The sequence below is a fragment of the Homo sapiens genome, chromosome 12, assembly GCF_000001405.40.
Source record: "Homo sapiens chromosome 12, GRCh38.p14 Primary Assembly".
In the NCBI taxonomy this organism is placed as follows: Eukaryota; Metazoa; Chordata; class Mammalia; order Primates; family Hominidae; genus Homo; species Homo sapiens.
This window is the reverse complement of record NC_000012.12, coordinates 57,819,537-57,846,872: the sequence shown is the minus strand read 5'-3', so window position 1 is coordinate 57,846,872 and position 27,336 is coordinate 57,819,537. Positions and strand designations below refer to the sequence as shown.

The window sequence follows — 27,336 nt, the reverse complement described above, 5'->3', positions numbered from 1 at the left end:
CAGCGGGAAGCTCCAGCTGGCCGTGAAGAGGCCGAGTCGAGAGCCGGGAGGCGCGCGGGGGTGGGCGCTGCAGCCGCGGGTTGTTTATCTGGAGTACGGAGGGGAGGGGGGAGCCTGGAAACCGCCCCGTGTCCCATTTCCTCCTCTTGTTTTCGCTCCGGATTCTCCATGTTGGACCCAAACTGAGGAGCCCGGAGCTGCCGCTGGGGGATCGGGGCCGGGGGCACCCGGGGGAGCCGCTGCCCGGGCCGCCCGCCCTTTGTACAGGCCGCCTCCCTTCCCGGTCCGGGGAGGAAACGAGAGGGGGGATGTGAACAGCTGTGGAAGTCGGAGTCTCGGGAGCCGGAGCGGGCCCCCGCCCAGGCCCCCCAGCCCAGCCCAGCCCGCGCGCCCGCCCGTCCTCCCGCCCAGCCAGCCCGGGCCCGCGGGATTGTTAGATGGAACACGGCTCCATCATCACCCAGGCGCGGAGGGAAGACGCCCTGGTGCTCACCAAGCAAGGTAGGGGCAGCAACTTCCCAAAACTTTGCGTCGCCCCCGGGCGCGGAGGGGGCTAGCACAGCCCCGAACCCAGGTCTCGGCCCTTGACCTCCAGGGCTTAGAGCCAGCGATCCCGACTGGACCCCTCCGGTCCATCCGCCCCCGCATCCCGGCTGGCACTCAGACCTCCGTGGGGGTTGCACGGGGATCCCGGCGCCCGAGCGGAAAGGGCGTCTTCGGCGCAGCTGTCACCCTGTCCCGCAACCCCTCCCCCTCGGGGCTGAGAGACGGAGGGGTAGCTCTCGAAGCACTGGGCCACTCCGCGTCCACCGCCTCCGGAGTTGGGGGTGGGGTCGTCACTTTCCTTCACCGCCGCGCGCGGCTGCCCCGGGATCGCGGGGAGGGGTTAGGAAGGTGACAGAGGGAGCCCCAGGTGGAACGGAACCGAGACTGGAGTCCAGCACTTGCAGGCCCCCCCAAGCCCGAGGTCGTTCGGGCAGCTAGCTGGCGGTGACGGCGTCCGGCGGGACTTGGGACCAAGTTCACCTCTTGGAGGCGGGGGCGGTCGCGGTGGGGGAGGGGCCCGGGCCCTGGCGCACCAGACGTGGCGGGTTCCCGGCTCAGCGCAGGCCCCGGGACCTTGGCGGCGTCGGGCTCCCTCCCGGCTGCCTCTGACCAGTTTCGCTGAGCAAACAAGCCCGACCCTGAGGCCCGGCCAGAGCCCCTCCCTGCCCGGTGCGCTCCCCCGGGGCCGGCGCTGCACACACAGAGCCGCGTTTGTTTAGCCCGGGAGCGGTGTCCCTGGTTACATAATTCGCCGGATGGCATCAGACCCGGCGTGGTTCTGAATCGCGCAGCGAAAAAGTGCGAGTTCTCTGTGGGCAGCGGCTGGCGGCCCCCGCCTTCCAGAGCGTCAGGTGGAGGCGCGAGGGGGCCCGCAGGCCCTCGCGGGGGTGAGGCGGAGGCCGAGGCCTCTCCCGGGGCGGGAGAAAGCTGGGGCCCGAGGGTGGAACCTCTTAGTTTGGTCACAGTGGGAGACTCGAAACTCTTTCCCCCTCCGCCACGTTCTTCTTTTGGCCTTGAGGAATGTGTCCAAAATAGCGGCAGATTTTCCGCGGGGTGTAAGGACGAGTGTGGCGTTTCTCTAGAGAGCCCCCCGACCGGGGCCACCTGGCCCCGGAGGCTGGGGCGGGAGCTGGCTCCTGGGGCCGAAGCCGGAGCGCTCCCTCCCCTTCTCCACCGAGCGCGAAGGGCCGGTGCTGCAGTTGAACACACTGAGGCCTAGAGCCTGGTGGGCGGCCAGCTTCGGGGCCTCGTGCGCCCCACGTCTCCCCGTTTGGCAACATTAGTCAGCAGGTCACTAATTCCTGGGGTTCACGTTCCAAGGAGCTCCCCCAACTTCCCTAGGGGCAAATCCGCTGAGTTGGTGGTGTCAGCCTCTCCCAAATTCCCTCAGTGGAACGAGAGGAGCTGGGAGGGGGGAAGGGTGGGGGGAGGGAGGCAGTGTGTTCCTCTTGCATCACTGGCCGGACTTTAAATAAGCCTGCCCTGAGAAGGGATGGCCTTGCCTACTCAGATCCCAACCCCCGAGAAGGCTCCGGCCTCCCTGACCTCGGTGTTGCCATGATTTCTGCTCTCCTGGCTGCATCACTAACCAGGCTGTGACCCAGGCAGCAACTTCACCGCCTCTGCTGGCTGCTCAACTGTGCTGATGGCTGAAAAAGGAAGGGAGCCTGCGTGTGTTTATAGCTCACTCCTGACTCTTCCCACTCCCTTTTTATCCCAGGAAAAGACCCTAAGAGCTAGCCAGAGGGGAAGAAACCTAGATGTGGGGGGATTCAAGAGGGGGCAGTGGTGATGAGTAGGGGGAGGAGCCCTGTGCTTCCCCACTAGGTCTTCCTCTCTTGCAGGGACTCTCTTGCAGGGAGTGTGCCTTGGGCATCGTGGGGCCACGCGAGGAGTAAGGGAAAGCTGGACTGCGCCGGGGCATCTTAGAAATCAGAGCTGGAAGTTTCATCCACCAGGGTGAATGGCAGGCTACAGAATAGATAACAGCAGAAAGCAAAGCAACTGGCTTGACAGTGTTAAGTTGCTGGTGTTGGATTTTCTTGGAGTTAATGTTTCTCCTTTTTTGTGTGTGTGGTTTAAGCCAGCAGCCACTGGGTCTCTCCCTCCCCATGTAATTTTTTATTTTAATTGAGATGGAGTCTTACTCTGTTGCCCAGGCTAGAGTGCAGTGGCGCAATCTCAGCTCACTGCAACCTCCGCCTCCTAAATTCAAGCAATTCTCCTGCCTCAGCCTCCCAAGTAGCTGGGATTACAGGCGCGCGCCATCACGCTTGGCTAATTTTTTTGTATTTTTTAGTAGAGACAGGGGTTTCGCCAGTTGCCCAGGCTGGTCTCGACTCCTGAGGTGATCAGCCCCCTTCGGCCTCCCAAAGTGCTGGGATTACAGGCGTGAGCCACCGCGCCCGGCCCCTCCCCATGTAATTTGATTGCATTCCAGAGAAGACAGACTTTCTTCCTGGGCTGCTTAGGCACCCAGCAACCACTAAACCAACTTTCTGAGTCCCACATCATTTACAAACAAAACCTACGTCTTCAAAACAAAACAAAAAACAAAAGCTGGGGGACTGGGGAAGCAGATGTTTTAATTGGCTCCTTTTGGAGTTCCTTCTTCTCCCCACTCCGTCCTCTCCACAACATCCCATCTCCATGCCTTGCCTGCCTTTGGAAAAAGGGGAAGAAGGAGTGTGAGGTACTTATTATTAATAAGTAAATTTCTGGAAAGAAACAAATTGCTCCTAGCTTGGGTGGCTATTTAGTGAAGTTACTTGCCATTGCGGGTTTTTTTTTTCTTTTTTTAGCATTCTGTTCTCTGAGGTTTAAGGCTGTCTGGGTGCGTTGATGATTCAAAAGTAATTACAGTAGGGGAAGTAGAACAAAGTTGCTGAAAGCATTGATGATAAAAGCACCAAAATTGGATCATCTTCCCAGACAGATGGGTGAAATGGCTTTCTGGTACAGCAAGGACAGGATTGTGTGTAACATCAAAAAGAAAAAAGAAATGTTAATATCAGCTTGGCAAGAATGGCTGTTGATTGCAGCTCTATATGAGATTGTCACCCCATTGCTAAGAGGTTGTGACCTTGGCTTTGGGATTAGATGGGGGAAAGCCAAGGAAACAAGACCCACGCTGTAACCTCCCAACGTGAAATGAGACCTGGTGGAGGCAGCCTCTTCCGGAGCTCAGTGACCCACACGCCTTTTGGAGGAATCAGAGATTTTTTTGTTGTCCATGAATCCTGATGCCCCTTCCTCTCGATGATGCCCTGGATTACCTTCTCACATGCCGAACTGGACAGGTTCTGATAGCTAATTGCAAGGATTCTTCTGAGAGACTGACCATCTCTGAAAATTACGATGTGGCAAGTTTTCAGGATGGCTAGCTCTTTTGTTATCCGCATAAGGGAGAAATTCTGCCTTATTCCCTCAAAAAGTTGTTCAGACACCGTTCACTGTAGATGTAGGCAAGCCTTTAACTTGAAAAGCTTAGACATGAATCTTGCTGGAGCTTCCTTCCATAGCTTGCTATGCAGGGGGCGGGAAGCCTGCATGTTTATAGCTGGCTCCTCCTCCTGCCCTGCTGGTGCCTCTCACCTTCCTTTGCCTACCCTGGGTCTTGGCCTCTTTGTGCTCTCACAGTGACTGCTGAGGCTCCCTCCTGCATCTCCTTTGGAGTTTTTCCCCCATCTTTGGGTAAGGGTTGCAGCCTGCGTGGTGACTTAAGCTTGTGTTTGCTCCTGTCCCCAAAATTGCAGAGGAGCGCTGATAAATCAGCAACAAAGTTTGTAAATGCCTAACATCTGGGGCTGGGGGTTTGCAGTTGACTTGCAGAGCTTTCCACTGAGCAGCACTGGAATTGCTGTGAAAAATCCCTCGGAGGATGGCAGAGGTGGGGGTGTTCCTTTGTCCTCTCTTCTCAACCGTAGAGGTCTTAAAGAAACTGGGTAGCAGAGAGGTGTCATTTCATCCTTTCCATGGGACCTTCCAAATCCCTTATCATGGATTTTGTTAAAATGGTAAATACTAAAGAAGTCACATTTCTAGCCAACGTGAATTGATGCTCCCAACCTGTGAAGAATTAAAGTGTTTGTAAATAAGCATGGAAAAGAAAGACAATATGTAAATATATATGGGATTGTGTGTATGTGTGTACATATCAATACATAGCTTCCCTTCCAATTCCTCCTACAATTTTTTTTTTCTGCTAGCTTTTGGGTAATTTGGGGTATTGTCTTTTATTCCCATCATGGTAAGTTTGGTTCTTAGATTGGACAGAGTGGGGACCAGGGTCAGGGATGGTGGTTAAAGTTTACATTGTTACTTCAAAGCATTGTTTCTGAAGCAAAATTGCTTCAGGCCTGGGTTCAAATACCTTCTTTTCCTATTTGCAATGAGACTTGATAAATCACTTTAGTATTCTGAGTAACTTATCTATAAAGTAGTAATAATGATATCTACCCTTCTATTATACTTGGTACTTAGTAGGTGCTTGATAAATATTAATGTCCTCCCTCTTTACATAGTTAGACTACTCTGTTCGCCCTCCTCCATTCCCCCAAGGACACAGTGTAAACAGCACGTAGTCTTGTGGGTTTTATTTTTCAAGACAGGTGGCCGGGGGTCAGAGGGGACACTGATTGTGGGGGCTTGGGCCTTCTGGAAGGATCAACCTCTTAGGCTTACAAACAGCCTTGCTGCACAGACCCCTTCTTTGTGTCATGTGACTTGGGATGTGATTTGTTATCTGCCTGGGCTGTGGGACTTTGGCCATTCTGTCTGGTGCCTGGGCATCTGGGGGTGGGAGAAGGCCAGGCATGTGCCCCCTGTGAGTCTCTAAAGTCTAAACTTCCTTAGAGGTTCTCAAATATGGATATAACGAATATTCAGGACAACTGTATGCTACATTCTCTCACTGTCTGCTTTGAGAGTTAATGAATTCAGAGAGATTGAGGTTTCTTTTAGGTAATTTTAATAAGAGGGGGAAAAAGAAAATGGGGTTTGAAGAGAAATAGATGTTCTTAAGCTATTTGTTTGCTCCTGTGGTTTTGGGGTACAACATTGAGAAAGTACAAAAGCAGCATTGATCTGCTTTTCATCTTGTCTTAGTCTGGCCAGCTCTGGGAAGCATGGAATTAACTCGCTTGTCTTTGGGACGTGGGATTGGGTGTGGCCCTGACATATTTCCCTCACTTTTCTGAAATGGAGTAGTAGTTCTGAACTGGGATGCAGATGAGCACATTAACACGCAAATCTTACAAAGAAAGTACTAGAAATTAAAGTGGATAAGTTGACGACTTAAAACTGGAAGCATCTCTGGACCAGAGACCAAATAGAATGGAGTTTCTTTGTCTGGCAAAATGCCCAGCCCTTCAGGTCTGAGTATGCCTGCACCAGGATCTGTTATCACAGGGTACTCCAGTGAGCGCCACAGCCTCCCTCTAGGCAAAAGTGTGTATGCCCTGTTTTATGTTAGCTATTCTAGGAGTTAGCCTTGAACCTGATCTCTGAGTGGATCTGACATTTCCATTTCCCTCCTAGGTGCTCTAGTCCTTCCCCCACCCCCATCCCCCCAAATCAGACTTTGCTCTTACTCTCTTTTTATTCTATACCTTCTTTTATTTCTTGCCACAGCTTTTTCCATCCTCTTGAATTTGCACTTTCCCATCTGCATTGTTCCCAGGGAACAAATATGGCCCCAATCCCAGTGAGAGCCAAGCAGACTCATGGAAAGGCTCAAATTGCCTGCGGAAGGCTTCCTGGATAGTAGATCCCAGCTTTTCTGTTCCCGCAGCAGAATAGAGCTAGGACCCCTCTTTCACAGGAACAGGGGCCTGCAGGTAGAGACAGCAGACCCAGGTTTTCTGACTCACGTCACATAGAACTACCCCTAGAGAAGAAAACTGGATCCTAGGCATGAGTCCTCTAAGGCTTGCAGAAACACTGAGCCAGTCAGGTACGGTGGGGAGAGGGGCCAAGGGGACTTTGGCTGAATTGCCTTCTAGCCCTGGGTTAGTCAGAGACCCTGGCAACCGGTAGATACTGGCTCTCAGCCAGGGACACACATCAGAGTCTCCTGTGACACTTGCTAAAAATACAGACCCCCCACCTGGGATCTGCTGAATCAGCGCATGGGCAGGTGGGTCAGGCATGCATGTGTTCCAAATGCTCCTTGTGGCTCTGACAGGTGCCCCTGGAGAAGAGCCAGGTAGGCACAGCAGTGGCCCCAACTGCCTGTTTTGCCCCGAGCAGGAAAATTCCTCTTGGTGGTCCCGTTTTACTGTATGTTAAAGATCTGTGGCTCTTCAAGGGGAGTCCTAAAGTTTTCAGAGTAAATGGACAGAGTAATGATCCATCCTTGTTTACCCAGTAATGGTTACAGCCAATATTTATAGAGTACTTGCCATAGGCAAGGTACTATTCCTAGCATTTTATATCTCGTATCTCACTTAGTTCTCCTGACAACTTTTCCTTTCCAATAAGAGGAATTAACCTCACTTTACAGATAAGGAAAACTTTCACAGGGAGAGGGAAGGACTTTGCCCAAGGGTACATGGCTAGTGTCAGCCAGACATTTGCATTGTCTGGCATTTCACTTTTTTTTTTGAGATGGAGTCTTGCTCTGTCGCCCAGGCTGGAGTGCAGTGGCGCGATCTCGATCTCAGCTCACTGCAAGCTCCACCTCCTGGGTCTATGCCATTCTCCTGGCTCAGCCTCCTGAGTAGCTGGGACTACAGGCGCCCGCCACCACGCCCGGCTAATTTTTTGTATTTTTAGTAGAGACGCGGTTTCACTGTGTTAGCCAGGATGGTCTTGATCTCCTGACCTCATGATCCGCCCGCCTTGGCCTCCCAAAGTGCTGGGATTACAGGCTTGAGCCACCGTGCCCGGCCTAACATTTCACCTTTTAGAGTGCTTTTGAGTTCATGATTCAGGTGCATGCTTCAGGTGAAGCCACCTTTTAAGGGACCATGCAGGGGAAACCTTTCCAGATTGGCTTATGAGGAAACTGAACCCCAGAGAATTGTGCCCTAGCAAGGCCACGGAACTGTTGAAAAGCTGAACTGGAGCAAGAGCTGGGTTTCCTGACTTCTAGATCAGTACTTTCTCAAGTGGACTCACCTATACGGCTTGGCTGGTCATAGGTGAAGCTGAGGGGTGTGGGGGGAGCAGCAGAATGTCCCTGGAGATGGGTGCCTCCCTGGCAGACTCCTTCCATTCCTTCTGCAGAGGCCAGCCATATGAAGGAGGAACTGGTTGGCCAGCCTCAATGAGTGTGTATGTGTGTGTGCGACTGATTCGTTTTTGTGGAGTCCCGGAAAACATCATTTCCGGTTTGGCCCTGTTACTACCTCTGAAATGAGTTAGAAGAAATCTCTATGGTCCCTTTAATGTGAACATTTTGAGATGGAGACTGAGGTAAGAGTATGAAAGTACTTTGCACTTAATGAGTAGCAGTTGACACTTACAAAGCTTTTGTTAGGACCAGGACACTCCCTGAGCTCCCTGCAATTCTGACACTGAGAAATAGGTAGTCTTCCCATTTTGCAGATGAAGAAACTGAGGCCCATGGCTGCATACCTTACACATGGCAGAGCCTAGATTCGAACTCAAGTCTGGGTGCCTTGTGTCACCACTGTATTTTTCCCTGGTCAGAACAGATACCCTTGCTTTGTCCTGTGTCCTCACTGCTTTCTCCAGCTCACGTTTGTATCAACCTAAAGCAGGCCTACATACCTGGAAGGGAAAGAAGCAGTGGATTCTTCCTAGGCTTCAACTATATCTAAGCATTCCAGGAGTCAAGGGCACAGCACTAAGGCAGGAACTTGAAACACTCACTGAGAGGTTGTCTGTGTGTAGCCCCTCCCACAGGGGCTTGTTATACACCTCCTTAGGGGGAAGGAGGGGTAACTCCAGGTAGGCAAGTGTGGTTTCCAATCCCTCACAATGATACCTTTGCTCTGGCTGGTGCTACATAGGGCAGGGTCTCCTGCTGAGGCAGGGGCAGGATCCAGTCCTTTGAGTTTTCTTGGATGGCATCTCAGGCTTGTCCCTGCTGCCCTGTGGGCTATTAGATCACTTCCTGACATCCCTCAAGAGTCCTCTGGAGTGGGGCTTGCAGGGCTGAGCCTGCAGCTGACTTGTCTATGAGGAAACGCCTCCTCTGTCTCTGGTCCAGGATCTGCTACTTATGGAGGCCCACCCCAACCCAGCACGTTTTTAAAGTACGTTGGAGCTGCCCAGGAGGGTGTTTTGGCAATACCTCCTTTAGAGGCTGATTCTGAAATCAGCGTGCTTTAGAACTGCCAGAAATCCCCTGCTCCCAAAACTGAGTCCTCTTACCTCTCTAGCTGAGGTCAGAGAACAGATTGCTGAAGGGGCAGAGACAAGAAAGTGTGTGACCTGTGACCCTCGCCCCACAGGTGGCATTAAGGACTCAGGTCTGAAAGAAGAGACAGCCATATAGGGAGCTCTCCTGCCCAGGGAAAGGGAACTAATGGAGACACTGGCTTAGGTAGAGCTGCCCCAGTTGCTGGTGCAGAGAGGGCACCAGCATACAACATGCTGGTATGGGCCAAACAGCATGGCTAAAACTGCTTTTTAATTTTTTAAATTTTATTTATTTATTTATTTATTTTGAGACAGAGTTTTGCTCTGTCCCCCAGGCTGGAGTGCAATGGTGTGATCTCGGCTCACTGCAACCTCCACCTCTTGGATTCAAGTGATTCTCGTGCCTCAGCCTCCGGAGTAGCTGGGATTACAGGAGCTCACTACCATACCCTGCTAATTTTTGCATTTTTAGTAAAGATGGGGTTTCACCATATTGGTCATGCTGGTCTCGAACTTCTGACCTTAAGTGATCCCCACTGCCTTTGCCCCCCAAAGTGTTAAAACTGCTTTTTTCAAAAAATGCCCATGCAGTTAGATACACAGCTACTTTTTGGAACTTCGGGAGCCGGTGCTAAGCTGGGTCCGGCCCTGCCTTGCTTGTTAGCTGTAGAGAACAGTGTCAGTGGCCAGGCATGAAAGCAGTACACCCTCCCCATTGTTTGCAGTCTTTTGTGTGTGGGGGCTGTCTAGGCATCTCACCCTCTTTTGTTCCCTGCCGACTCACCTGCTGGTCCCAGGAGCTCTTCCGTCCACCTGGCACTTTAGGGCATGTCCATAGCCAAGGAACAGATGCCCCTTGCAGAGGACCTGGGAGGACTTCTCTCCATGGGGGAGTCCCAGTCAAATGTGTCTTGGCTGCAGGGTTCAGGCAGCCGTCCAAGAAGGGCCGGAAATGCTCCAAATACTCTCCTTCCTCCAATAGCTGAGAGGAAGGAGGCCCCTCAGAGGGGCCATTTTATAGTGATAGCCAGGCTAAGGCTAAGTCCTTTGCTGTGGGGGATGGGAGGTGGTGGGGAAGGAAGTACTTCTGGGGATGAACCAAAAAAGAAAGCAACTTTCTACCTGAATGGGCTTGTTAAAATCTGATTGTCTCAGAGGTTACCTTCTGCTGAATCGCAGGCAGATGTGTGAGGAGTTCCTTTGCTGGGACACAAAGCTGTGTTGTTGACAAAAGTGGTATCTGGACCTGACTTTCAGGAGAAGATTAAAAACAGTGTTGCCCTGGTCACTCTGGTCTTCGTTTGTGTGTATGTGTGCACGTGTTCACGTGTTTGTACATGTACACTTTTTTTTTTTAAAGACAAAATCTCACTCTGTCACCCAGGCTGGAGTGCAGTGGTGCAATCACGGCTTACCGCAGCCTCAAACTCCTGGGCTCCGGTGATTCTCCCACTTCAGCCTGCCAAGCTGGGACTGCAGGTGCACCTGGCTAATTTTTTTTTGGTAGAACAGGATTTTGCCATGTTGCTCAGGCTGGTCTTGAACTCCTGAGCTGCAGTGATCCAACCGGCCCAGCTTCCCAAAGTGCTGGGATTACAGGCTTGAGCCACCTACCCCGGCCCATGCATAGGGGCAAATAGTGTCCTTACCTGGTACTTCTTGAGAGTAGTGGGGATGAATACCAGGGGAGACAGCGATTTTTGTCTCAAGTGAAACAGTCTTACTTGCTTTTGTTTTTCACAGAATACCCAGTCAGGGAGTTTGTGAGCTGGAAAACAAATTTTGTTGTGGACTTGGGAGAAGGTATAGGGGCTATTTTGACTTTCTGAAACCTGCTCATGATCAGAGCTCTCAGGCACCTTTCCCTCATCTTCTTGGGCTTCATCCACGTGATGATGGTGGGAGGGCTCCTGGTCTGTTGCTGGCCTCCTGGAATGAGGCCCATGATGTTGCCATTTAGTGGTCATCTCCCCTTGGATAATTAATTAAAACAAGCGCAGCATTTAGCTTTAGAGTTAGCACAGTGCCTTACTCTCTAACTTCGTTTATCCTTTCAGTCCTGAGTGAGGGCTTGCTGTTATCCCAGTTTATGGATGAGGAAACTAAGGCTCCAAAAGGCTGTGTGGCTGAGTCAGTAACTGGCAGAGCCTGGACCCCAGCCCTGATGATCCTCAGTGGGGGCATACTCCTCACATCCCCTCTTCTCCTCACACCCCGCCTCAGTAGGAAGACTCGCAGCAGTGAGCTGGATGGCTGGCCTGGTTTCCCTGTCTTCAGCCACCAGCTCACTTTCTTCTTAAGCCAGAGCTGCTTCCCTCATTGGGTCTGTGCTAGTCCTCTCAGACATCTAGCCCCAAACCAAATGTTTGGGGCAGAGAAAGCAGAAGCACATCTGCATCTGGGCAGAAGAGGAGGGCTGGGTGTCCGCAGAGGGTAGCAGGGAATGAAGGAGGGAGAGCAGCTCGTAGTTGGGCTACATGGCATCCGCTGGAGTCCTGCCCTCCCTGGTTGGGGAAACCATGTGCAATGAATTTCCTACGGGGGCCAGGCATGGTGGCTCATGCCTGTAATCCTAGCACTTTGAGAGGATGAGGCAGGAGGATTGCTTGAGCCCAGGAGTTCAAGGCCAGCCTGGGCAACATAGTGAGACCTCATCCCTTTTTTTTTTTTGAGACGGATTTTCGCTCTTGTTGCCCAGGCTGGAGTGCAATGGTGTGATCTTGGCTCACCGCAGCCTCCGCCTTCTGGGTTCAAGCAATTCTCCTGCCTCAGCTTCCCAAGTAGCAGGGATTATAGGCATGCACCACCACGCCTGGCTAATTTTGTATTTTTAGTAGAGACAGGGTTTCTTTCTTTTTCCTTTTTTTTTTTTTTTGAGATGGAATTTTGCTTTTGTTGCCCAGGCTGGAGTGCAATGGCATGATCTCTAGCTTACCATAACCTCTGCCTCCTGGGTTCAAGCGATTCTCCTGCCTCAGCCTCCCGAGTAGCTGGGATTATAGGCATGTGCCACCATACCTGGCTAATTTTGTATTTTTAGTAGAGACGGGGTTTCTCCATGTTGGTCAGGCTGGTTTCAAACTGCCAACCTCAGGTGATCCGCCCGCCTCGGCCTCCCAAAGTGCTGGGATTACAGGCATGAGCCACCATGCCCAGCCTCTGTTTTTTTGTTCTGTTTTTAAAGAAGGAAATCGCTGTGGGCCTGTAAATCCTCTTGTGCCCAGTGTTCCTCTCCTGGAAAGGCAGGCTGTGCCCCTCCCCATCACACACAGATGGGTAGGGGATGGCCTGCACCTGGCTGTCAAGGACACAATGCTGAGTGCTGGCTGAAAGGAGCCATTGAAAGGCTCTTTGACACAAGTTTCAGATCCCTCTCTGAACTCTGTGGTTCCCTCACCCTTAACCAAGGAACAATGCAGGTCTTGGACCAAAGCTCCTGGCTCCAACCCCTCCTTCCTCCTCTGCCCCATTGTCATCTTGATCCCCCAGAGGTATCTGCTGGTCAGAGCAGGTGCAGGCAGGGGTGGGGGTGGATTCCCTGGAGTGGAATCCCAGAGCCTTGTGCTGTTTTACCCCTTCCAACTTTGACATCCTGCCCAAGAAAACCTGGGGCAAGGGGTAGGGGCTAGACCCCAGACTGGTCCTTTACCAGCTCATCCTAGAGAGGCAGAGAGCAAAAGTTCCCAAGAAGACTGTAGTCCTAGCTACTTGGGAGGCTGAGGTAGGAGGATTGCTTGAGCCTGGGACATCAAGGCTGCAGTGACCCATGATTGTACCACTGCACTTCAGCTTGGGCAACAGAATGAGACTCTTGTCTTAGAAAAAAAAAAAGTTTTCCAGAAGAGACCTTGAGAGTGCCCCTACACCTCCCATTTGTTGCATAAGTAAATGTGTATGAGACCCTATACAGGGTAATGGTTAAGAGCCTGGGCTCTGGGTTCAGGCAGATCTGAGTTCAAATCCTGGCTCTGCTGTCATACTACCTGCATGACCGTGAGCCAGGTTACTTAACCTCTCTGTGCTTTAGTTTCCCTTCTGTAAAGTGGGGAACTAGTGCCTACCAAAGTGTTAATAGTAAGGATTAAATGAGGTAATGATGTCAAGTGTCTAACGCAGACCTGGCACATCCTTGATGCTCAGTAAACATGGCGGTGGCCTAGAAAGACTCAGTGGTTTGCCTTAGGGGCCCAGCTCCCTCAGTGCTCACCTTCCTCTCCTCACATAAAGGAGGCTTCTCTATCTAACTCTTCTGGGCTGTTGCAAACTAGTGGAGGCTTCCCCAGGTCCTAGCTCTGTAGACATGACAGGCCCTGGAGGCCCCTGGAGTCATTCACTCAACCAGGCAAAGTTACTGAGCACCTGGTACGCAGAGGGTCACGGAGGCTGATGAATGCACTGGGTTGGGGCCATTGTAGGCCTTGCAGGGAGGCAGTCATGCTGGGAGAGGCTGATGCATTCTGATGAATTCTCTGGAGTAGTATTTAGAAAGGAAAGGAGGACAGCCAGCCTGGAAAAGGATGGAGGGAAGCAGGGCCCCATCAAGGGAGTGGGGAATGAGGGATGCCTGAGGTATTGACCTTGCTGTTGTGGGTCTGAGGTACTCTGCTTCAAGCTCCTGCCCCCAAGGTCAAGGCATTTGTGGTCTCAGAGGCCCAGGGGCTGCCGGCCACATTGGGTTTTTGAGAAGACCCTCATCCCCTGCAGAGTCCAAGCTCCCTCCCCATCTAGGACTGAGGCGCTTCTGCCTGTTGGGCTCCCTGCAGCGGGCGCAAGCCAGGCCTTTCCATGCCCCCAGCCAGCTGCCCCTTTCACCCCCGCAACCTCTCAGGATTACTCAGCCTTCACAGCGTCTGTCACTAAGATGCTGAGTGCATTCCTGACGGCCTCTCTTCAGGAAAAGCCCAGGCTGTGTGGCCTTTTAAAAAAGACTCTGTGCCCGGGTTAAGCCTCTGATTGTGGTTCTGCATGAAGAAACCATAAACCAAAGGGAAAGCGATGGTTCAGCTTTGGTCTTGGAGCTTTGTGTCAGCGTCTGTCCTGAGTCCCTGAGCTTAGAATTTAATGTGAGCCATGCAGGCAAGGTGGGGAAGCTGTCCTTTCCCTCCAATTTCAGCATAGAAATAGGGAAAGTCCAAGGAACCTCTGTCTTGCTGTCTTTTGTTTTTTTCTTTTTCTTTTCCTTTTTTTTTTTTTTTTTTTTTTTTTTTTAGCCAGAGTCTCGCTCTGTTGCCCAGGCTAGAGTGCAGTGGCCCGATCTCAGCTCAGTGCAACCTATGCCTCCCGGATTCAAGTGATTCTCCTGCCTCAGCATCCCAGGTAGCTGGGACTACAGGTGTGTGCCACTACGCCCGGCTACTTTTTGTATTTTTAATAGAGACGGTGTTTCACCATGTTGGCCAGGCTGGTCTCGAACTCCTGACCTCAGGCGATCCGCCCACCTCGGCCTTCCAAGGTGCTGGGATATCAGGTGTGAGCCACCACGACCGCCCTGTCTTTTCTTTTTAAATTTGAGATGAGGTCTTGCTATGTTGCCCAGGCTGGTCTTGAACTTCTGAGCTTGAGCAGTCCTCCTATATGAGCCACCGTGCTCAGCTTATCCTGGACTCTTTGAGTGCTGGGCTCTGCTGAATTTTTTCTCCTTGATAAAGGGCTCTGGGGGATGTCCCCAGCACAACTTCATGACAAAATCCCTGTCCCTGGAAATTTTGGTTCCTCTTCCAGAGCCAGGAGCTTGAAAGTGATGTCCAGGCTTTCAGGCTAATTGCTGGAAAGCCCCAGTCATTTTCTAAAAAGTTTCCAATGGCCATACCAATGTTAAGGAATCTGGCCTAACCCAGGGAGGAGAGAGAGAGAGAGCATGCGCGCAAGCTCTGGACCAGCCAACTGGGGAGGCTGAGCCTGCACCTGCAGGAAGTCCTCTGCCTTTCTGTTGAGGCAGAGCTGAGTCCCTTATCCTAGGAGTGATGCTGACTATACTTGTCCAACTGCTGTGTAAAGGCCATTTTCTCACCCTTGGTCCTGTGGAATAGTTTGATCTTTCCCTGCTCCTCTCCAGGGGGTACTGGCAGCCCAGTAACTGGATGTTAAATGGCTCTTCCATTACCCACTTCTGCAAGGGCCACCTTGGTACATTTTCTGGGTGTGTTGCTCCTAGGTAGCCCCTACCACATTGTCTTCCTCCTCCCTTTATCTCTGTCCCAAGGAACAACACAGGGCAGTTTGTTCTTCGTGGTACATTCTGCTTTCGTTTCTTTTCCCCACAAAGACAGAGGCATTTCCGGCATCCATTTTCCTGCACAGTAGTTTGCCCTGTGCTTTAAACTGGAATGGCTTGGGTTTAATCATTGGGCCCATCTCCTGCTCAGGCTCTAGGAAACTCAAGACCCTCTGGAGAAGAGAACTGGGACCAAGGACCATTCTGTGAGTGGTTGTGCAGTGCCACCTCCTGGCCACAGTGACCATTGTATCTTTCTACTCTTGCTCAACAGTCATCAGAAAATTTCATCTATAGCAAAAGGAACTTGCAAAAGATAATCTTTTTTTTTTTGAGACGAGTCTTGCTGTGTCGGCCAGGCTGGAGTGCAGTCGCATGATCTCGGCTCACTGCGACTTCCACCTCCTGGGTTCAAGCAGTTCTCCTGCCTCAGCCTCCCAAGTGGCTGGGATTACAAGCGCGTGCCACACGCACGGCTGTTTTGTATTTTTAGTAGAGACAGGGTTTCACCATGTGGGCCAGGCTGGTTTCAAACTCCTGACCTCAAGTGATCCACCTGCCTCGGCCTCCCAAAGTGCTGGGATTACAGGCGTGAGCCACCACACCCAGCACAAAAGATATTCTTAAGTCCATTTCTAGTTGATCCTGTAATGCTCATAATTTTTTTTTTTTTTTTTTTTTATCTGCTTGGCCTTTCTGGGGATGTCTTGCCAAGTCTTCTATTAAAATGACTTTGTGGCCAGGCGCAGTGGCTCACGCCTGTAATCCCAGCACTTTGGAAGGCCGAGATGGGCGGATCACCTGAGGTCAGGAGTTCAAGACCAGCCTGACCAACGTGGAGAAACCCCATCTCTACTGAAAGTACAAAATTAGCTGGGCGTGGTGGCGCATGGCTGTAACCCCAGCTACTCAGGAGGCTGAGGCAGGAGAATCGCTTGAACCCAGGAGGTGGAGGTTGTGGTGAGCCGAGATCGCTCCATTGCACTCCAGCCTGGGCAACAAGAGCAAAACTCCATCTCAAAAAAATAAATAAATCAATAAAAATAAAATGACTTTGTTTCCACCGCCCAAATGATCAAGGTAGGACTAAGCAGCTGCAGTCCAGAAGCAAGGCTATCAGCCTAGAACCTGAGGCTGCGAATGTGTGTTCTAAGGGGCTAATCCATGGTATCTGTGTTTTACCAATTAGGCTCCCCATCCTTGAGGGGAGGGGGCCTTAAAGAGAGCTGCTGGAGTGGAGGAGGGGAGGCAAGGCTGTGAACAAAAAGTGTAGTTTCTTCCTTGGGGCTGGGGCTGCTCTGGAGTTCCTAGTCTCTTGTTTCTAGCCTGAAGTGGTTTTTTGTTGTTGTTGTTGTTGTTGTTGGTTTTGTTTGTTTGTTTGTTTTTGTTGTTGTTTTTTTGAGACGGAGTCTCACTCTGTCATCCAGGCTGGAGTGCAGTGGCGCGATCTTGGCTCACTGCAAGCTCCATCTCCTGGGTTCACGCCATTCTCCTGCCTCAGCCTCCCAAGTAGCTGGGACTACAAGCACCCGCCACCTCACCTGGCTAATTTTTTGTATTTTTAGTAGAGACAGGGTTTCACCGTGTTAGCCAGATTGGTCTCAATCTTCTGACCTCGTGCTCCACCCGCTTTGGCCTCCCAAAGTGCTGGAATTACAGGCGTGAGCCACTGCACCTGGCCTCTATCCTGAAGTTTTTAGGCAAATTGGGCTCCGTTCTGCCTCCACTAAGCCAGTATCTAGGGAAGCTGATGCTAAACAGAACTACAGCTCCACTAACTCAAAGGGGACCAGGTTTCTCCGTTGTCTGGAACCGATGGTCTTCCTGGGAATTGACGTTAGGGAGGATTTTTGTCTTCGTGAATTAATTTTGAGTGTGCTGCAGCTGGAGCAGCAGAACACCTTGATTCTATGCCTGGCCCCATCTTCCCCGATGGAATGAAAAACAAATGCTCTGTGGCTCAGGTCTCCCAAGCCAGAGAGTGGGGATTCCTGACATTCCTGCTTTAAAGAGAAAAGGCTGGAATAAACATGTATGTTTGACTGTTAACTGTATGTGGTTGTTCACCAGCCGTATACTGTGTGCCCTAGTAGAGTTTACAAACTAGAAGAGCTATGGGCATGGTAGTATCTGTGGACAGAAACTGATGTCCCTAGAGCTAAAGCCTCTGTCATTCTCTCCACCCTAGGCCTGGTCTCCAAGTCCTCTCCTAAGAAGCCTCGTGGACGTAACATCTTCAAGGCCCTTTTCTGCTGTTTTCGCGCCCAGCATGTTGGCCAGTCAAGTTCCTCCACTGAGCTCGCTGCGTATAAGGAGGAAGCAAACACCATTGCTAAGGTAGGTGGGTTGGGGTGGTAAGATGCCAGCAATGAAGGGACTGTTAATGGGAGATCCCTGCAGACGATGGCAACCGGACAAGGAAGCTTTGCCTGAAGTTGCAAAGATTTCTGGCTGAGAGGGGGCCCTTCCTCCATCCTTCCATAAGTAGTGTATTTCCTTTCTGTTCCTTCCCTTTTGCGGTGTGGGCCATTCACATGTCACTGTGGTTTCTGAGGGCCCCTGTGATCCTGATCCTTCCAGGTTCCAGGAACTAGGCAAGGTGCTTTGCATATATTGTCTCATGTGATCCAGCCAGCAGCCCTGTAAGGAGATCACAGGATTCACACTTTGCAGATATGGATTTATGTAGAGGGTTTATGTAGCACCTGAAGAGTTCATGGTTAATAAATAGTAGTGTCAGGATTTGAACTTAGATTTCTCTGGCTCTAAAGCCTGTGTTGTTGTTCTCAATTATGCAAAGCTAACTTCCAAGTTACCTGAGTTACAGGGAACCAAGGAATTGAAACTCTACCATGCTGTTAATAACTCCTGTCAGCAGTTCTCTCCCATACTCATGCAAGGCATTTGGGATTTTGTGGGTATTTTTTATATGTCTAGTATTTCACAGGTGGGGCCAGCCCCGACCAACAAAAATTATTCTGCCCCAAAAGCCAGTGGTACTTCTCTGAAACACTGAGGTCTGGTTGTCCTTCCTTTTTCTCAAGACCAGGCTGAAGACATACATCAGTGAAAAATCACTGCATTTTGCAGTAGGGGAAATGGTTAAATAAAATACAACATGACAGTATTACTGAGTGATTAGCTTTTACAGAGTTCTCAATAACATGGAGAAGTATTGAGTTGCAACATTAAGTAAAAAGGCAGAGTGTGTAATTGTATAGCATTCTGGAAAAAGTCTGCGGACACAGATTTGAAGGCAGTACACTGAATGCCACATTGTTTATCTAAGTGCTAGGATTTTAATTTTTCTTCAAAGTTTTCATTAAGAACACTTAAAACCATAACTTTTTTTTTTTTTTTTTTGAGATGGAGTTTCGCTCTTGTTGCTCAGGCTGGAGTGCAATGGCGTGCGATCTTGGCTCACCGCAACCTCCGCCTCCCGGGTTCAAGCGATTCTCCTGCCTCAGTCTCCCGAGTAGCTGGGATTACAGGCATGTGCCACCACGACCGGCTAATTTTGTATTTTTAGTAGAGACGGAGTTTCTCCATGTTGATCAGGCTGGTCTCGAACTCCTGACCTCAGGTGATCCGCGCGCCTCGGCCTCCCAAAGTGCTGGGATTACAGGCATGAGCCACTGCGCCCGGCGGTCATAACATTTGTATTAGCAAAAATTGGGGTGGGGGGCTTGCTGATCTCTCTGCACTCCCTCCCCTCACATTTTGGGTACCTACAATGTGGCTTACTTGATGTTTTATAGGGCTTGTTCCCCCACATAACCCCTAAGGAGGGCATGGAAAACAACATGTTCTCAAGGAGAAGCCTGAGTTTAAGGACTTAGCGAGAGTTTGCCACTGTGAGGAATTCAGACTTTGGTTCTGCCTCTGACTCTGTGTCCCTGAATCAGTTACTTGAGTTCCCTGTTCCTCACTTTGTCCAGTTGAGAGGCAGTGGCAGCCGAGAACAGGGACACTTGTCTTCTCCATCCTTCATCAGGCCTAATGTGGAAAGGAAGCTCTAGCCTTTCCCTTTTCCTGCCCCACTCCTAGGAAAAGTCACTTTTGACATGGTAGGAGCTTCCAGGTGGCTGGGTCTGGGGGAGAAAGTTGCCCTCCAGGCTTAAGACAGAAGCAGTGGGTTTGGATGGGGTGGGAAAGGCAGTGAGATGGCACTGACCACCTCCTTCTCTTCCTCAGTCGGATCTGCTCCAGTGTCTCCAGTACCAGTTCTACCAGGTACGTGACTCTGGCCTGGTAAGTACTCAGAAGCCAGGATCCTGTGATCCCTGCCAGCTCCACGGGCAGGGTGATGTGCATAGTCCTTGGTGCCTAGCCAGCCACCTCCCTGACCTGGGAAGCCATTTGTTCCCCATACTTGTTGAGGGCCTGCTATGTGCAAGGCATTAGATTTTAGGGGACAGCTGGTGCTCCATGCCCTCTTCCCACAGCTGCTGTCCATCCCACACCTGCCCTGGCCACCACCTCCAATGTCCAGATCACTTAATAGTCCCACTGGGAGGCTGAAACCAAGGAAACAACTCCACCTCCTTTCTTCCTGGCCTTTAAGTGGTGCCTATCCTGGGTTGGTGATTGTGTCTCCACAAACAACCCAGCTCTTCCCATAATTATGCCAAGGGGTACAATTGGGCTTTCTTGGTAGGCAGATCTCAGCAACCTGGCTTGGTTTTAGATCCCAGGGACCTGCCTGCTCCCAGAGGTGACAGAGGAAGATCAAGGAAGGATCTGTGTGGTCATTGACCTCGATGAAACCCTTGTGCATAGCTCCTTTAAGGTAACTCAATGTCTGGAACCCTTCCTACCTTTATCTTGGGCCTTCTTGTGAATCTGGCAACAGATGTGTAAGGCAGCCTAAAGGTGAGGAAAGAAGAGTGATTAGAAGGGAAAAGGCCAGGCCTCTGGCATTTTGGCCACCCTGTGTCACAGGTATCTAGAGGCCCCACTGAAGAATGTTGAGTAGGAACCCTGTGTGTTCCACCAGGGCTGCTATCTCCAGTCACTCCCAACAGGCTGCATCTGCCCCCGAGCCACATAGCACAGAAAGCCAGCCACGAGGGCTCTGTACAGGGCAGGCCTAAAAGAGTGGTTGGATCACCTTTGGCCCTTGCCCCTGCTTGTCTCCTCAGGAAACTCAGGCCCCAAAACTCTCAGCCCAGGTAGAATTTGTCAGAGTGGAGGTGCTAAGGAGTAGGGAAAACCAGAATGGGGTATCACATCTTGAACTAGGGTGAGAACCCCTTAATGAGGTGGCCAGAGGCACTTCCAGGAGTCTTTAAGACCTGTTTCTCCCCACCCACCTAGGGGTATGGTGGGGGCCTCATGTTTCTTTGCCACCATGCTGACAGCATTAACTTTTCTGCCTTCCAGCCAATCAACAATGCTGACTTCATAGTGCCTATAGAGATTGAGGGGACCACTCACCAGGTGAGCTGCCAGCCAGACCACACCCAGCCCAGAGGGTGGGGGGTCTGCCTTCTGCCTCACCTGTACTGGGGTCCTCCACCCATCTCAGGGCTTGGGTTCTGTCAGTTGATCCCTTTTCTATAACTCCAGCCTCCCCTTTTTATTGGTATCTTTCACTCAAGGCTTTCTCACCTTAAAAAAAGAGTTTCAGCCCCATATCCCACCCAGCTGTCTCCCTTGTTTTCTCTTTGCAACCAAGCTGTTTAAAAGAATAGTTTACATTTTATTTAATAATAATAATAGCTATCGTTTGTTAACCACCATCCCCTCACGTGGCCAGCACTGTTAAATGATTTATTACATTTCTCTGTTCCTTAAGAAAGGTATCTATACCTGTTAAGATACCTTAACCAGGTATCTCTTTGCCTGTAACAGGCAGGGAAATCAGTAGTAACCATTTTCTCTGCCCGGAATGCCCTCTTGCCCATGCTCCCCCTGCCACCCCCACTGTGAATAGCTAGTGACTTTCTTCCTCCCCAGCCCAGACATCTCCTCCTCTGTGAAGCCTTCTCTGACTGCCTTCCCTGGGGCCCTCCATTGGATTCTGCCTGAGGAAGTGCTCAGTGTGTGTCTGTCAATGTAAAGAGCACTCAAATCTAAACAGACCAGGCTCCAGCCTGCAGCCCAGGCAGTCCCAGGTTAAGGATCATGTGACACTGCTAGTGAAAGACCATTTACTCAGCTTGCTTGCCCAGAAGGCCTGCCATGCCCAGCGCCAGGCCCCGGTCAGGACTAGGCTTGGTCCAGCAGCCCTTTGACAGTCTAGCTGAGGGTATAGGGATGTGCTAAACCCTTGTAGAAAAGATGAAGGCATATTTTCAAACAGATATACACTGTGAACTCCTGGCTAACAAGGAAGGGTATGAATAATTTTTAAAAGGATGAGATTAAAATGAGGGAGCACTACCTGCCCAAGGTGGGTGAAAGGATGCCAGACTTGATGAAAGCTGGGATGAGGAAGGGGCTTGTTGGAGGTCGAAGGAATGGCAGGCTAACAGAAGTTAAGTTGTGGCTGCCTAGAACAGAGGGTTCCTGCAGAGCTCTGAGTGGTCTGGTGAGTTGGTGGCCAGTTCAGGCCTACTCTAGGAGGGAGAGTCACAGCAGGCCGACTCTCTTTGAGCTCGGGAGTAATGCAGGTAAAGGAGCTTTGGGAGTCAGGTGCCGTGGCTTACACCTGTCATCCCAACACTCTGGGAGGCCAAGGCAGGAGGAATGCCTGAGCCCACAAGTTCACAACCAGCCTGGCCTCACATAGCAAGACCCCATCTCTAAAAAAAATAAGTAAATAAAGAAAAGAAAAAGGACCTTTTTGGAAATGGTTCTAGTAGCAGCTGTGTAGGCTAGAGTCATGGAAGCAATAGAATGCAGACCGATGGGGGGTCAGGTGGCCAAAGGACTTCCCAAAATGTGCAAGATCGTAAGGGTGGACAAAGGTGTTAGTGGTGGCTGGCAGAAGCAAGCACAAGATCGGGTGCAGAGCAAGACTCGGCAGGGTGTCTGTCTAGTCTATGGTCATTGAGGGGAAAAAGTCACTTCTCCCTGGTGCAATTCATTACCTAATCATGACCTGGACAGACTGTCCTGTCGGAGCCAAGGACAGAAAGCTCCCATAGAGGCTGTGGCTGGATTCAAGTAATCCAGGATAGGCTGTTTCCATCTGTGAGGCCTATTCTTGATTACTTGTTTCTGGAGGCAGCTGATGGTCCGCCGCCGGAAACAGAGATGGCTCCTGGGACATGGTGTGTGCGCTTCTTCCTGAGCCAGGTTGAGGTTGGGACCACTGATCCATTGGAAGCCTGGTGAGGGGTACAGCCAGTTCTCCGGGTCTGTGGGGTCTCAGGGGGCCGCAGGCTTCCAGCCAGGTAGCCCAGGAGGCTGGGCTGCAGGGGTTGAGAGCTCCTTGCTGCTGTGTAACTGGTGAAGGTACCCAGTACTGCAAACCTTCATCACAGGGATGCCTCCAACAGGCTGCTCTGCTCTTCCTCAGGTGTATGTGCTCAAGAGGCCTTATGTGGATGAGTTCCTGAGACGCATGGGGGAACTCTTTGAATGTGTTCTCTTCACTGCCAGCCTGGCCAAGGTACCTAGGGGTGAGAGGGAAGAACCAGGAGTGGGTGTGGTGGCCACGGGGGTGGTCCAGCAGCTCCCTTTTGGTCCCTAGGGTTATACAGGAGGACCAGGAGTGTATCCAAACTAAGGCATCTTCTCTCCTCCTAGTATGCCGACCCTGTGACAGACCTGCTGGACCGGTGTGGGGTGTTCCGGGCCCGCCTATTCCGTGAGTCTTGCGTGTTCCACCAGGGCTGCTACGTCAAGGACCTCAGCCGCCTGGGGAGGGACCTGAGAAAGACCCTCATCCTGGACAACTCGCCTGCTTCTTACATATTCCACCCCGAGAATGCAGTGAGTGCTCCTGATGCGTCTCCACGGTAGGGATTGGGAGAGGAAGCAGACTGGAACTGTGGGCTCCACCAGAGAAGTACACCCCTCCAGGAAGACCCAGCCACCCTCTAGGGCTCTGGGGCGAGGGAGGGGGAAGCAGCAGTCGGGAGATTGACACCACATCTTCCCCCCACCAGGTGCCTGTGCAGTCCTGGTTTGATGACATGGCAGACACTGAGTTGCTGAACCTGATCCCAATCTTTGAGGAGCTGAGCGGAGCAGAGGACGTCTACACCAGCCTTGGGCAGCTGCGGGCCCCTTAGCCTGCCCTGCTTCCAAGCGACGGCCATCCCAGTAGGGGACTTTCCCACACTGTGCCTTTACGATCAGCGTGACAGAGTAGAAGCTGGAGTGCCTCACCACACGGCCCGGAAACAGCGGGAAGTAACTGGAAAGAGCTTTAGGACAGCTTAGATGCCGAGTGGGCGAATGCCAGACCAATGATACCCAGAGCTACCTGCCGCCAACTTGTTGAGATGTGTGTTTGACTGTGAGAGAGTGTGTGTTTGTGTGTGTGTTTTGCCATGAACTGTGGCCCCAGTGTATAGTGTTTCAGTGGGGGAGAAGCTGAAAGACCAAGACTCTTCCCAAGTTAGCTTGTCTCCTCTCCTGTCACCCTAAGAGCCACTGAGTTGTGTAGGGATGAAGACTATTGAAGACTCCATTGCCAAACCATGGCCTTTCCTCAGTGTTGTAAGGCCTATGCCAAGGATAAAGGAAGGGTATGCCTTTGGGTACTCCAGGCACACACCTTTCTGAAATCCTTCTCCAGCCAGCTGCTGCAGACAAAAGATCACATTTCTGGGAAGATGAGAACTTGTTTCCAGACCAGCATCCAGTGGCCATCAGGTCTTGTGGCCCAAAGGCTATGCTTGCCTCCGGCTGAGTGCCTGGGATAGGCCTTTTCTATGTCTCCCCAAGGCTGGGGTGCTGAGCCTGCCTTCCTCACCACCTAGCCATAGTCTCAAACCTGTGGGGAAGGAGGTTTTCTCCCTGCCCGGGAAGAGGACAGATAACTGATTTCCGTTCTTTTGACTGTGTTTTAAAATTCTCTTTCTAAACACAGAGTGTTGGGCCTGGTTTGTTTCTGACAAAGTTACAGTCCTGGGCCTGTAATGAATGTCGGCGGCGCTGGGGTTGCAGGGAAAAGACAAATCCTCAAAGCGTGGACGTGTGTCCCCATGGCTTGTGGATCAGCTAAGCTCGGGATCATTTCCATAAGTCTGCTTTTCAGGGATTCTCTGCTGGTGCTGGTGCAAGGACTTCTGTTCCAAAGGCTGGGAAAAACTAAGCTGTCCCAGCCCCTCCCATTTCTTGGGCAGGGCTCTTTTCCTGTTGTGTCTTCCCCCAGGGCCTGTCCTGTACCGAGCTCTGTCTGTTCCAGCCTTCATCCTTCCTGGCTGTTGCTTTTCCTCTTAAGGGCCTCAGAACTCTTGCTCTTCCTGGGCTGAGGGGGAATGAGTGTTCTTGCCATTTGCCAGCCTAATGCGCATGCTTTCTGCCTCTGGTAACAGGAGTGAGTGAGCCCCTCAGACCTGCACTCTGGGTGTCTCCTGCTTTCAAAGGTTCTTAATAGTGAATGCTTTAAAATTAAAGTCATCACGAAATGGAAGTTTTCCCAGGGTGGAAAATAAGAGGAAGTGCTGCTGTAATTGGGAGCACAAGGGGCCTCCCAAAAAGGAGCCCCACCTCAGCATCACTGCCTTAATCGTGGCCTCCCTGGGGTGGGTGGGGTTCTCTCCTCCCTCCCTCCCTCCTCCTGGGGTGGGAGGGCGCTCCTGTTCCCATCTCTGTGTTCCCTGGAGGCAGGTATCACAAAGCATTTGTGAATTGCTTTAGGTGCAGGGACACCACCCACTCAGGACTCTTCCCCATCATCCCTTCCATTGCCACACCCTAGATCCAGCCTCAGGAACTAACAAGTTTTGAGAAAAGCAGGTAGTAGAGCAGCAGCTTCGTGCTCTCAGCGGTGGCTGGCTGGCATTTTTCTCTAGCGTTGTGGTGCCACCTTCCCTTCTTGTCCCAAGGTTATAAGGCCTTGTCTTTCTCTTTGGAATCATAAAGTGGAACAGAGTCCCCAGAACTCATGTGGCCATTTCCGCCAGCATCACTCCCCGGTGCCTATGGGGTCCCGGTGTACCTAAAGGGAGAAGGACCCCATGTGCTAGCCAGAAATATACTGTCTCTTGAAGGAAAGCAGGAGCTCAGACTCTTAGAGCCAGCTGTGGCTTCGGACCCAAGGCCTGACCTAGGCTGCTATCCTAATATTGCAGGAGGGGCCTCTCTTCCAAGCCCCACCCTAAGGGTTAGCCCTTGGCCAAATCTTTTGCCGTCTAGGCCCAGCCAGGCTTTTCTGACTAAATAAGCAATAAGAGGCTCTAAGCTGACTGAGTTGCAAGGACCCTTTCCGCCCTCCCTTGGATCTCCATGTTTTTCCAGATGGCGGAAGAGCATGTGCCACCCCCTTTCCTAACAGACTTGTCCAAGTGCTTGGCGTGGGACCCATGACCAAAGCCCAGGATGGCTTGGTGGGAGTGTCCCTGCTGCATCTGCATGAAGCCCCTGCTTTTTAGGCCTCACTCCCATCAGAACCCTGCCTGCCCACCTGCAACTCCCCCCCAACAATGCCATTCCCACTTGCCCCAGAGAAGCTACTCGGCCAAACCTAGCCAGGGTCTGTTCTTGTGGACCAGAGCCAGCCTAGTCATTATTTGCTGTCGGGTTTCCAGTTTCACCGTGTGTTAGGGTGAGGGATGATTGTAAAATTTGCTCCTCAAAGGAATCAGGCCAGACTCAATTTTGGAGGGCAAGACAGGGAGGAGGCCGCTTCATCCCAGACTCTCTTCTAGGGCTTCCCACCATCAGCCCCTCCCACTTGAGACTGGTCTTTGGGAGGCAATAGGCCACCATGCCTGGTCAGCACCAATTCAAGCCATGCCAGGAATCTGCCTACCTGCCAGGTTCAGTTCTTTTAAGGTGCCTCTTCAGGGACACAGTGTGTCTCTCTGATTGGGCTTCTAAATCAAAAGCCTGATGTTCGTGTCCCTCTCATAGGGGGAGCTTTGGACACAGGACCAGTTTGGAAAAGGGTCAGGTAAGGGTTTCCACTCTGCACATTGTAGAGGGAACACTCTGTAGGCCCATGGGTCCCTTACTAGAGAGGTTGAGTGAATTTGCCTTCAGTTAACATGGGACCTTCTGTTTAGCTTCCTCTTGCTTCCCAAAGATTTTAAGCATTTTGTAAATGTATAAACTCACCTCTGGTAACAGTGGCCCAGACGCTGCTTTGTGCTAAAAGCATGGGAAATGTAAAGGCAGTCTTTCTCTGGGAAATGGATGCTATTCTATTCTGCTGCCCCTACCTGTTCCTGAGGCCTCATTTAGAAAGAAAATCCCCTCAGAAGGCTGTCTGGCACCCAGTGTCCTAGCCAGGCCAAGTATATGAGAAAGGTAAGTCCATTTTCCCCTTCAGGTCCTCAGTGGATTACTTAACCACTGCTGTCCCTCGGTCCCTTTTTCCTAAACGGGTTTAGTTCTGTCTTTTTTCTCCTTTTTTCTAAATGCTGGTAAATATTTACATTCAGCCAGGGAAGAGGAGGCCAGAGGTCGGGCCAGCTGCCCCATTCTTTTAACGTTGTAGGGCCTGCCCATGGAGCGGACCCTCCTCTTTGGGCCTCGTGAGCTTTTTTGCTTATCATGTTCCATTTCGTGCCGCTTTCCCCCTTCAAGATGCCATTTGGAGGGTAGGGGATCTGCTTCCCACTGTGACTGGGCTATGGGATTCTGACTACCTTGCTTACAGATTCATGGTTTGATAAATTTGTTGTATTCAAAAACTTGAAATGCAGGACGCCATTAAGTGTCTGTTTATATTTTTGGAATATTTGTATTACTTACAATTAATTAATAAAAGTGGGTTTAAAAAACCTTTCCAGGAATGTGAGCTGCCACCAACCTTCATTGGCCCTTAAGTGTTCACTGGGCCCATGGCAAGCACCGCCTTTCTTCTCGCAACCCCTTCCATCATGAAGCAGCTGCACCCCCGGGCTGAGTGGGGTGTTGCACCCACCGGGAGGCCAGCTGCAGATGCCACACAGGGCTTCCGCTCAAGGTTACACAAGTTCTGCTGTGATCAACCCCATTGCAGTCAGGTGCTTAGCACGTGTATATGCTTGATGTCCTATTGACTTCTGGGCATGAACCAGAAGCCCTAAGGGAATGGATTATTATTTTTTTTTTTTTTTTTGAAATGGAGTCTTGCTCTGTTGCCCAGGCTAGAGGCAGTGGCATGATCTCAGCTCACTGCAACCTCCACCTCCCAGGTTCAA

At 51.3% G+C, this 27,336-nt stretch overlaps 1 protein-coding gene, 1 long non-coding RNA gene and 1 other non-coding gene across 4 annotated transcripts, besides 8 other annotated features; 2 read left to right on the top strand and 1 right to left on the bottom strand.

Annotated features, from left to right (window-relative positions):
* Positions 3 to 432: a silencer, noted in NCBI's record as "silent region_4596". NCBI's record gives its function as "represses an Ori minimal core promoter by ATAC-STARR-seq in GM12878 lymphoblastoid cells {active_cell/tissue: GM12878}" and the evidence as "EXISTENCE:reporter gene assay evidence [ECO:0000049][PMID:35858748]".
* Positions 144 to 26,946, top strand: CTDSP2 (CTD small phosphatase 2). 2 transcript variants are annotated; one of them, NM_005730.4, is made up of 8 exons: positions 144 to 501; positions 17,277 to 17,425; positions 19,283 to 19,321; positions 19,776 to 19,877; positions 20,471 to 20,527; positions 22,554 to 22,646; positions 22,784 to 22,969; positions 23,146 to 26,946. In NM_005730.4, exons 1-8 carry the CDS (start codon positions 438 to 440, stop codon positions 23,269 to 23,271), a joined length of 816 nt encoding a protein of 271 aa, NP_005721.3. In that variant the 5' UTR covers positions 144 to 437; the 3' UTR covers positions 23,272 to 26,946. The 2 variants fall into 2 exon arrangements, with proteins under 2 accessions (NP_005721.3, XP_005268613.1); XM_005268556.3 differs by having other exon boundaries at positions 19,283 to 19,339.
* Positions 1,023 to 1,322: a silencer, noted in NCBI's record as "silent region_4595". NCBI's record gives its function as "represses an Ori minimal core promoter by ATAC-STARR-seq in GM12878 lymphoblastoid cells {active_cell/tissue: GM12878}" and the evidence as "EXISTENCE:reporter gene assay evidence [ECO:0000049][PMID:35858748]".
* Positions 1,653 to 1,702: a silencer, noted in NCBI's record as "silent region_4594". NCBI's record gives its function as "represses an Ori minimal core promoter by ATAC-STARR-seq in GM12878 lymphoblastoid cells {active_cell/tissue: GM12878}" and the evidence as "EXISTENCE:reporter gene assay evidence [ECO:0000049][PMID:35858748]".
* CTDSP2-AS1 (CTDSP2 antisense RNA 1) lies at positions 3,112 to 9,782 on the bottom strand. The gene is made up of 2 exons (NR_188077.1): positions 9,659 to 9,782; positions 3,112 to 4,614 (listed from the first exon to the last, which is right to left on the bottom strand). It is a non-coding gene; the product is annotated as a CTDSP2 antisense RNA 1 (long non-coding RNA).
* Positions 8,273 to 8,893: an enhancer, noted in NCBI's record as "H3K27ac-H3K4me1 hESC enhancer chr12:58231763-58232383 (GRCh37/hg19 assembly coordinates)". NCBI's record gives its function as "activates a minimal SCP1, AML or CMV promoter by ChIP-STARR-seq in primed H9 embryonic stem cells {active_cell/tissue: H9 hESC(primed)}" and the evidence as "EXISTENCE:reporter gene assay evidence [ECO:0000049][PMID:30033119]".
* Positions 8,443 to 8,522: an enhancer, noted in NCBI's record as "active region_6563". NCBI's record gives its function as "activates an Ori minimal core promoter by ATAC-STARR-seq in GM12878 lymphoblastoid cells {active_cell/tissue: GM12878}" and the evidence as "EXISTENCE:reporter gene assay evidence [ECO:0000049][PMID:35858748]".
* Positions 8,583 to 8,692: an enhancer, noted in NCBI's record as "active region_6562". NCBI's record gives its function as "activates an Ori minimal core promoter by ATAC-STARR-seq in GM12878 lymphoblastoid cells {active_cell/tissue: GM12878}" and the evidence as "EXISTENCE:reporter gene assay evidence [ECO:0000049][PMID:35858748]".
* Positions 9,483 to 9,552: an enhancer, noted in NCBI's record as "active region_6561". NCBI's record gives its function as "activates an Ori minimal core promoter by ATAC-STARR-seq in GM12878 lymphoblastoid cells {active_cell/tissue: GM12878}" and the evidence as "EXISTENCE:reporter gene assay evidence [ECO:0000049][PMID:35858748]".
* Positions 12,113 to 12,172: an enhancer, noted in NCBI's record as "active region_6560". NCBI's record gives its function as "activates an Ori minimal core promoter by ATAC-STARR-seq in GM12878 lymphoblastoid cells {active_cell/tissue: GM12878}" and the evidence as "EXISTENCE:reporter gene assay evidence [ECO:0000049][PMID:35858748]".
* On the top strand, positions 22,181 to 22,264 carry MIR26A2 (microRNA 26a-2). Its single transcript, NR_029847.1, has one exon. It is a non-coding gene; the product is annotated as a microRNA 26a-2 (primary transcript).
* Positions 26,947 to 27,336: the final 390 nt, after the last annotated feature.